This window comes from Homo sapiens, chromosome 12 (genome assembly GCF_000001405.40).
Source record: "Homo sapiens chromosome 12, GRCh38.p14 Primary Assembly".
Lineage (NCBI taxonomy): Eukaryota > Metazoa > Chordata > Mammalia > Primates > Hominidae > Homo > Homo sapiens.
Window position 1 is genome coordinate 60,142,479 of NC_000012.12, and position 11,009 is coordinate 60,153,487.

Genomic DNA, 11,009 nt, shown 5'->3' on the forward strand with positions numbered 1-11,009 from the left:
ATCATTTTGGTTGGTTGGTTGGATTTTGGTGGAAATGTAGTTGTGAGTCTTCTGATTTCATGGATTTGTTTATTGTCTTGGAGATTCTAAAATGTTCCTTATTTCTTCTTGTTTCTTTCACTACTTCAATGCCAAAGGGTGCTTCTCCCTTCTTTTGTATGTTCTCCACCCCAGCGGCTTCCAGCTAGACAGCTAGAATGTACGCATAACAATGTCTAGCTTTTAAATTTTACCTGGCTCATTAAACTGTGCCCTTGTCTTTAAAGCATACGTACTCCTTTCGAATCAAATGCCTTTTTTTTTTTTTGACGGAGTTTTGCTCTTGTCACCCAGGCTGGAGTGCAATGGCGAGATCTTGACTCACTGCAGCCTCCGCCACCTGGGTTCAAGCGATTCTCCTGCCTCAGCCTCCTGAATAGCTGGGATTATAGGCGCATGCCACCACGCCCAGCTAATTTTTGTGTTTTTAGTACAGACGGGGTTTCACCATGTTGGCCAGGCTGAAATCAAATGTACTTTGAGGTTTATTCCCTGTGGTTTATAATCTAATCTGCATGGATACATTTTTAGCATTTTTAGCCTTAATCTTTCTGGTGGCACTTTCTAATGAAACTGGGGCCCCTTTACTAACTTTCCTCTTTTGCTCTCTTCCTGCACTCTTTTTAAAATTTTGTTTTTTTGTTGTTTAATTCTTTTGTATTATTGTTTACTTTTTGTTTTTGTTACTTTTTAAACTTCCCTTGATGGAACAGAGAAAGACTTGTAGCAGCAACAAATTGGGTTGGGAATACAAGTTCATGTACAGGGATTTGGTGTTTTTCTCCTTTTATTCACAGTTAATTAGAAATTTGTCATTCTCTTTCTTTAAGTCATTTTGAGCGCAAGTTCCTGTAGATTTATCTTTTTCTTTTGTTGTTTGGTATTGTTCTTGGAGGCAATATTAGTAGACAGGGAACAAGGCTGCCATTACTGTCTACCTCCATTGGTTTTAATTTTTATATAATTTACATTAAAATTATATGAATTATGTAAAAATTAAAATGTTGATTATTCTGTATTCACCTACTTCCATGAGATTATAATTAATGCAAAGGATTCTCACTTTTTAAAAAGTAATGTTGAAAATATTTAGAGCCACATAGGGGATATCCAATTAAGAAAAGCATTTGAGAAGCAACTTAATATTCCTATAACACTTCCACTCATCAAAATATTCTGACACTAACTGGAAGTGTTTTCAGAACTAGCCTCTAGCCCAGATTTTAAAATATTCTCAATCTTTTCAGCTATGCATTATTTTTGGCCCTCAATAATAATACTCTGATTGAGCTTAGTATTATCTTAATAATATTTGGCTTTATCATAAAATTGAATTGAATCTCAAAGGGTAAAATTTTTATATTCTTCAGCTCATTTATTGAATTATTTTTCTGGTAGAGAAGACGATTTTAATAGCCTAATTAAAATATTTTAGAAAAGCAAGAAGATTATTTTGAAAGAGAAAATACTAATTTAGAGGCATAATGTTAGTGCTTTAGCTTAGATAAAGCTCTCCTTATCTTACAGTTTCAGTTCTCCTGTGTATAGCAGGCCTGTGTTGAATATCCATGAACAGAGTAAAGGTTTAGATTTTAATTTCTTATGATTTCTTTCTAATTTGCTCTAGAGATATGTCTCTTGAGAGTGGCCATAAGTTCTAGCCCAGTCCTGACCAGGAGGAAAGTTAAGTTCAGCTGTGTGTGTCTGGTGAGACACAATGAAAAATTGAAATCAAAATGCATGAATCAGAAGAAATTTATTATTCACAGGTCCCAAACAGGTTAGTGGTGCTGATCAGAGTCCAGTGGGAAGTCAGAGGTGGCAGGGAGCTCAACCAGCAGGTGGGGAGTGAGAGAGAGAGAGAGAGAGAGAGAGAGAGAGAGAGAAATAAAAAAAAAAAACCTGTAAGATTAATCTTTTATTACCATTCATGGGCATTATCCCTTAGGTTTTTCCAAGGGGGTTGGTGGATTGGCTAGTTTAAAGAAAACACTACTGAAGAGAGAATCTTATTTACATCACTCTTGTGTTAACCATTAAGTTTTATCATGATCAGCATCTGTGGGGTATGCTGGGTTTGGCTCAGCGAGATAAGAAATAAGGGGACAATATCACAAACCACCACACAAGGAGGGGAAGTTTTAACTAGGCCAAAAGTGACCAAAAACAGCAAAGTTTCAGGAAATTTATGTGAGGCCTAAAGATGGATGCCAAAGCAGCAAATATATTAAACAAACTCATAACAGTAACATACCAAATTCATCCTTTTATTTCATTTTATACTTCAAATAATAAATGGACACCAGCCAGTTATTGTAATTTTAGTTAAATTTCATAGTGCATTTATAAGTGTTTTACTATTATATTTGGAACATATTTTAAATATAAAATTGTATTTTCTCAAAGATATATTTCTTAAAAATCTCATTTACATTGGTACTATGGATAACCACAATATTTTTAATATTTCTAAGTTAGACATTTCCCAATGTCTGTTTATGGTTTATAATTTTTAACATTGTGTTTTCATGAGAATCTTTAGCAAGCCATTTAAGTATCTCCTCTCATTCATGTTGCTTAATCTGAAATAAATATATAGTGTTCTTTTCTTGTTGTGCATTTGTGCTGCTATAATATTTGATAGTTCTCTTTGACATAAAATAATGAAAAATAGTCAATACAAAAAGGTGCAATGGCAAACAAAATATATGTCTTCTCTGTTTATGATTTCTCATTGTATTTTATCATTTTCATTCAATTTTTATGAGAAAAGATATTAATTTTGAGTCTTCCTCAAGTGTCAAATATTTTAAATAAGCTCATTCTTCATATTTTCTACTATAATACAATTTTCCACTGTTCTTAAGTACAAAACTCTTTATATTCATTCAAAATGAAGATTTATATTAAAGAAAGTAATTTCTGTCTCTGATCATTTACCTTGTGTTTGGTCTTTCAAATCCCCATGTGGTGCAAAATAATATGTATCTCGTTGAGAACAGAGAAGAAGATAACATTCTACTATTCAGATGAAACAAAGAGAAAGATTTGCTCATTTTAGAATACTTAGTATGAAACTTTATGGATCTGAGAAATTTATTTTTTACAATAAGGGTTATACTCTTACATATTGAGAAAAACTAATACATTGGTTATTGATATATATTGATCACTTTTTAATTGGTGGTTATAATCATTGGGTTAATAATAATATTAATCATTGGGTTATAATAATAATAAATCATGAACCTTGGCACTTTAGAATAGCCTAAGACTTGAAGCTTATTTAGTAATGAGTTTGTATGTTAGTCAAGTGAGGTATGCGACATTATAAAAGCTTAGCAGATGTTTTCAGAGATTAAACTATATGAATAACTTTTCTTATTCTTCATCCTTCTTTTGATTTGACCAATATATCAACTACACTCATAATATTTTTTTCATGTAAACCAGAAGATATTCCATATTATTTTAGAAAGCCACTTTCTTAAGGCTTTATTGTCACAAATTATGTTGGTTTCCATCAAATCTCATGGTATTATTTGCTCAGAAAAATAATCTTGTTAATTTAATAGACAGTTTCTAGTTTCACACTGATAGATGATCATTACCCTAATTAGATCCAACTAACTGTAGTTTAAACATAATCTCAAGTGTAATGTTCTTTTTATTTATAAAAAAATGTAAAATCTAATTACTTTTGAAAATTTATGTGTTATATAAAGGTCTTGGAATATGAATTCAGTTGTTTTTCTTTCCTGAACTTCAATTTGACAACCACATGTTTTATGAGACCGTTGGAAGATGTTTACAGTTAATAGATCCCTCACTAGAAATACTTTCACATTAGCTACAGCCTTATACATGATAGATGTGGAATAATTTCTTTTCAGAGGGAATTTCAAGGATTTCCAAAATTGTTCATTTCTCAAAATGTTGCAGAGTTATTTAGGAAAAGATGTAAACTTTTCTAAGGAAACTTTGGTAAAGTTTCTGGTAAAGCTTTTGATAAAGAAACTTTGGTAAAAAGAAACTTTTGTTGTGTGTGAGAGAGAGAAAGAGAGAGAGGAAAAAAGCCTAGATCAGATGGATCACCAATTTCCTCACTCCCTGACACAAGATATGTTTCTTGAAATACCTTTAAGAATTGAATGCACTAAAATAGTGCTGGATTTAGAAAAGTAGATGTGGTTTTAGAGAGATACTGTTTTATAATCTTGAAAGAATGATATTTTCACTTGTTTATAAAAATTCTGCAGATTAATCCATTACACCAGACTTGAATGTGTAGACATGGTCTGAGCTTTCCTTTTTGAAAGGTAATTCACTTTGAAGTAAATATCTGTAACAACATTCAAATAAATCTTTTGTATTCAATTAGCAAATTCATAGATAATTATAATATAGAGATGATTCTAACATACGGGTGAGGGAGAGGAAGTAACTGTAGGCCATTTTCTGTCTTTGAAAAACCCATTGCTATTAAACTGTTGTTCTAGTTTCACCACTTCTTTTAGGTATCATTTATATAGTAGCTCTGATTTTGTAAATAGAAGTACAGCTAGTTCCAAGTAAGTATAAGTGGCCTGAAAGGGTGTTCATAAAACACAAGCTGGAAAATTTGACATTTGATATTATTACAATCTCTTCATAGAAAAAAAAATTACCTTTGATTTGTGACCTTCTCTCAGTACCTTAAGAACTTCTTACATAAGAAGATCCTAGGTTTCTGAAGGTGCCATGTACAAGCAGTGCAGGGAATATTTTGGAGCTTACTAGAAATGCAAAATCTCAGGATTCTCCCTGAAACTACTGAATTAAAATAAGCTTTTAAATTAAATCTTAGGAAAATCAAAGGCACACAGAATTTATAAGAACCATGGCCCTAGAATATAGTGCTATCTAGGAAAGATGAAATTTACCCATCAGATTTAGTGCAAAGGATGACCTTGGTTTTACTAAACTATTTTTCTCTCGGCTATTGTACAATATGATCCCAAATCATAATTTTTCTTAAGCAATTAGACATAAAGTTTGAATTTTTTTTGTTACATTTGATTGAGTAACTAATGAAAATATCATTTCTGATTTTACAAAAGAGACATTGCTGCTATTTACTTCAATTGTATGACTAAATAAAAATTATAGTCATGGACTTAAACTGTGAGGGTTCTCTCAGAGATAATATGTCAATAATTCTCCAGATAATTCTAGAAAACTCTCAAGGTGAAGGTTTGCTGAAATTAAGTGACTTCTTAGTGAAAGGTATTGCAGTATTTGCAGCACGTATATTTCAGGTTAGCAAGATGATAAATATATACCCTGTGCTTTAAACAGCACAGTATTAAAATATTCAAGTACAACAAGAATGAATAGAAAAATAAAGAGGAAAAAGATCCCACAATAAATGAGCAGATTTGTGCTATTTTATTTCTTTTGCAAGCTGTGAAAATCCCTGCTGAGAATGCCATAATTTCTTACAGATTGTCATTTCCTTTGGATATTATTACATGCAGTAAGTTAACTGGAGCTAATATAGTTCCAGGAGATGTAGTGAAGACTTAGAAGTACAAAGCCTTTTATCAATGTAAAAAACATCCTGATTAGTAGTAGCTGGTTATCCTCTGAAGCTGTTTCCATGAACAACCCTGCCTACACAGAGCCTGATAGGCAGGACTGCCAGTAAAAACTGTCCAAAGAACTATTGCCAAGATGTCTGCTTCTTCCTGGAAATGCCTCCTGACTCATTGCATGAGTACCTAATACACATGGTGACTACACATGAACAGTGATACAAGAGGAAAAATATGATTTACCAAGCAAAGAATTTAAAAAGGCACCAAGAGGTCACATGTCATACAGATATATGATACATATGGGCTCGTGCATAAGACAAACTCTGCCATTAACCAGCGATGTGTGGTTCTTTGGGCTTCAGTTATCTTATGAGGAGCTTAGAGTGCATCACAGGTTCTCAAGACTGGCTGCCCATTAAATTTACCCAAAGAGCTTTAAAAAAAAATCTACACCTTACTCCAAATAAAGTAAGTCTTAGCCTCTGAAAGTAGAGCCCAAGCACAGAGTTTTATTTATTAAGCTTCCCAGGTGATTCCATGTATAACAAGGTATCAGAAACACTGAACAATAATAATCACTTATGTCTCTTCCACATTTAATCTTCCACGCTTTCTAGGAAACCGTGTCTCCTGCCTTTTTTTACTCTCATCTCTTCTTTACATAAATATATACTATATAGATTGAACATAGTAAAAAGACAGATATTATTATTTTATTCACAAAGTTTTATAAATAAATATGTGATTTTTTCATCTGCACATGACTCTGGCTACAAACCCAGGTAACCCATATCAGGAAAAGCTGTTTCATATGGGAAATGTAATAACTGGGGAGACAAAGTACAGCTAAGATGTTTTAGACAATACTCCCTTCTACTCTTGAATCATAACTGTTACAGTTCAGAATGGAGCAACAAAAGAATTTTTGGTAAATCAACAGGGAAAGTATTTTGCATGACTTGACCCAGGCTCTGACTCATCTATTAGGATTTACTAGAATGTATCATAAACACTATCAGGCATAACATGGGGAATTTTCCTACTATTCCCTAATGAGCAATGAGCATATAGGATTTTGTTGTATTTCTTTTTATTATTATTATTATACTTTAAGTTCTGGGATACATGTGCAGAACATGCAGGTTTTTTACATAGGTATACATGTGCCATAGTGGCTTGCTGCACCCATCAACCTGTCACGTACATTAGTTATTTCTGCTAATGCTGTCCCTCCCCTAGCCCCCCAACCCCTGACAGGCCCCGGTGCATGATGTTTCCCTCCCTGTGTCCGTGTGTTCTCATTGTTCAATTCCCACTCATGAGTGAGAAAATGCAGTGTTTGGTTTTCTGTTCTTGTGTTAGCAAACTAACTGAGAATGATGGTTTTTCAGCTTCATTCATGTCCCTGCAGAGAACATGAACTCATTCTTTTATATGGCTGCATAGTATTCCATGGTTTATATGTGCCACATTTTCTTTATCCAATCTATCATTGATGGGCATTTGGGTTGGTTCCAAGTCTTTGCTATTGTGAACAGTGTTGCAATAAACATACACATGCATGTATCTTTATAGTAGAATGACTTATAATCCTTTGGATATATACCCAGTAATGGATTCTGGGTCAAATGGTGTTTCTGGTTCTAGATCCTTGATGAATCGGCACACTGTCTTCCACAATGGTTGAACTTATTTACACTCCCACCAACAGTGTAAAAGCATTCCTGTTTCTCCACATCCTCGCCAGCATCTGTTGTTTCCAGAATTTTTATTGCTCGCCATTCTAACTGGCATGAGATGGTATTTCATTGTAGTTTTGATTTGCATTTCTCTAATGACCAGTGATGATGAACTTTTTTCATGTTTCTTGGCCACACGAATGTTTTCTTTTGAAAAGTGTCTGTTCATATCTTTTTCCCACTTTTTGATAGTTTTTTTTCTTGTAAATTTGTTTAAGTTCCTTGTAGATTAGCCCTTTGTCAGATGGATAGATTGCAAAAATTTTCTCCCATTCTGTAGGTTGCCTATTCACTCTGATGATAGTTTCTTTTGCTGTGCAGAAGCTCTTTAGTTTAATTAAATCCCGTTTTTCTCTTTTGGCTTTTGTTGCCATTGCTTTTGGTGTTTTAGTCATGAAGACTTTGCCTATGCCTATATCCTGAATGGTATTGCCTAGGTTTTCTTCTAGGGTTTTTATGGTCTTAGGTCTTATGTTTAAGTATTTAATCTACCTTGAGTTAATTTTTGTATAGGGTATAAGGAAGGAGTCCAGTTTCAGTTTTTTGCACATGGCTAGCCAGTTTTCCCAACACCATTTATCAAATAGAGAATCCATTCCCCATTGCTTGTTTTTGTCCAGTTTGTCAAAGATCAGATGGTTGTACATCTGTGGTGTTATTTCTGAGGCCTCTATTCTTCTTGAAGAGGTCCTTCACATCCCTTGTAAGTTGTATACCTAGGTATTTTATTCTCTTTGTAGCAATTGTGAATAGGAGTTCACTCATGATTTGGCTCTCTGTCCATTACTGGTGTATAGGAATGCTTGTGATTTTTGCACATTGATTTTGTATCCTGAGACTTTGCTGAAATCGCTTATCAGCTTAAGGAGATTTGGGGCTAAGACGATGGGGTTTTCTAAATATACAATCACATCATCTGCAAACAGAGACAATTTGACTTCCTCTCTTCCTATCTGAATACATTTTCTTTCTTTCTCTTGCCTGATTGTTCTGGCCAGAACTTCCAATACTATGTTGAATAGGAGTGGTGAGACATGGCATCTTTGTCTTTTGCCGTTTTCAAAGGGAGTGCTTCCAGCTTTTGCCCATTCAGTATGATATTGACTGTGGGTTTGTCATAAATAGCTCTTATTATTTTGAGATACATTCCATCAATACCTAGTTTATTGAGAGATTTTAGCATGTAGAGGTGTTGAACTTTATTGAAGGCCTTTTCTGCACCTATTGAGATAATCATGTGGTTTTTTTCATTGGTTCTGTTTATATGATGGATTATGTTTATTGATTTGCATATGTTGAACCAGCCTTGCATCCTAGGGATGAAGCCGACTTGTTCATGGTAGATATGCTTTTTGATGTGCTGCTGGATTTGGTTTGCCAGTATTTTATTGAGGATTTTCCCATCGATGTTCATCAGGGATATTGGCCAGAAATTTTCTTTTCTTGTTGTGTCTCTGACAGGTTTTGGTATCAAGATGATGTATTTCTTACAGTACATGGAGTGGCAGGAAGAATTTTACAACAGTAAGAATCCCAATTCTGAACTCTGTAACAAAGCCAAGATAAGTAAACACTAAGACATTTTTAGAAGAGTCAGAAAAAAGTTTAAATGGTTGAAATCTAGAATATCAAATATAACCAAAAACATGTACCAGTTAAGTAAAACACCCTGAAATGCTCATTTGAAATTAGCAGAATTATGAATTCACCCCTATATCTTAAAAATATTATATATTTTTAAACTTTAATTACAGAAAAGCCTGGAAAGAATGACCAATTCAGTAGTAATGTACACACACTGGCAAATAAATGAAGTTCTGGGATGCATTGCAAAATAATTTGGGAAGATTGAAATGATATAATGTGAAAAAGATTAGCTATAATTTAATAGTTGTCGGATCAGGATGATTTGTATACTCAGATTCATTTTATTCTACTTTTGTGTAAGTTTAAAACTTTCCATAAATTTGAAATGAATCACTCTACTTTGTCAAGTCTCAATATGTTCATCTATTAAATGAGAATAATATATGACAGTTATTTTCATATGTTTAAAAATTTTGTATAATTTTTACCTTCCTTATATGTGTAGAAGGAATACAAATTAGACTTTTCAAAAGCCAAACTGCTGTGCAATAATTCAATAAGTTACCTAAAAATACTGAAAATACTAAGAAACCTCTTTTATATTCAATAATTATCAGTAAGGCAAATTTAAGGAAACTACATCAAAACAGAAAAGATTTCATTATCCTCTTGATGCATTAATGGGGCAGTTATCACTCTAGTTCCATAGATTTGTGAAGGGCAGATAGACCTGTGGATTGCCTTTAATGAGCCAGGCCTATGACCTTGGTCAGGTTATTAAACTTTTGTCATTTGTGAAATAAGAGGTATAAACTAGATTTTCTTGGGTGTGATTAGCATGAGCAGCATTGAACATTTAACATTAATGAAAATATAGATAGATAGATAGATAGATAGATAGATAGATAGATAGATAGATAGATACAGGTAGATATAGAGAAGTGATGATGGTTGAATTTGAAGTTATATTTATCTGCCTAACCCATTGTGCTGAAACTAGCATAACACCCTTTAATGCTACTCATAAACTTAAGTTGGCTCTGAAGAAAAACAGAAAGGGAAACTTGTTGATTACAGTCTGTATTCTAGAGATTTTCTAGCTGTCACCATTAATCCCCAACTCTTTCCCCCATGACACAGTGTTCAGTTTAGATGGAAACATTTAAGTATTTCTGAATAAATGTTAGATAAAAGCTATCCTTTAATCCACAGGGATTGTTCATAACAACGTTGTTTTCATCAATAAACTTATATATTAAAATTGAAAAGTTAGTCAATTATCTGGAAAATTGAATATAAAAACTCAATATTTTTCAGAAATGTGCTTCAAAGCTCTGTCAGTAGTAGGATAGGCCAGATCATGGGAGTCAGATATTAGGAAAATAGTGATGCTTACTAGAGTCAGCTATACATTAAGTTTAATTTACCTGCTGATATTCACAGAGGTATGACAGATGATTTAGTGATCCATGCCAGTTCCATACTGAGTCATAGCAGTAGGTGTGTTCTGACTTGAAAAGAAGCAACAAGTAGATGTCTTAGCAGGTAGAACAGTACAACAAAGACAAAGCAGCTTGTGCAAGCAGGAATTACACAGAGAATGACAAAGAGATGTAACTCCAGGAATATATGGAACAGGGAGTGAGGCCCCATGCTGCATACGGGAGATCAAGGTAGAAATTTAGTGAGGAGGACTAGTAATGTGGGAGCCTTGTCTCCCATGCACTGGTGTACAATGTAGGAACAGGGCATGCTTCTGACATTAAGACATGACTTATGTTTACTTTTACTTAAGTCTGCTTAATATTGAAAAACGCTCCTTGCATGTTTTGACTGAACAAAGCTAATCCAAAGCCATAATGAAACTCAACCTGAAGGCAAAGGGTAAAGGAAATAGCTGAATAAGTATAAAGAAAGCCAAGAGAGTCAGGCAGGTCATTGCACTTACAGTTTATGAATGGCAGTAAATAGTTTTGTATGGGGATCATTTTCAGAATTCATATTTGGATTATTCTTGATGAACAGATTTAATGAGCAACATCAAATTCAATAATAGCATGCTCAAAGA

General features: G+C 33.7%; 1 annotated feature.

Moving 5' to 3' along the window:
* Window positions 229–407: a silencer, noted in NCBI's record as "fragment chr12:60536488-60536666 (GRCh37/hg19 assembly coordinates)". NCBI's record gives its function as "represses an EF-1alpha promoter that drives an FKBP-Casp9 reporter gene in an ReSE screen in HepG2 liver carcinoma cells {active_cell/tissue: HepG2}" and the evidence as "EXISTENCE:reporter gene assay evidence [ECO:0000049][PMID:32094911]".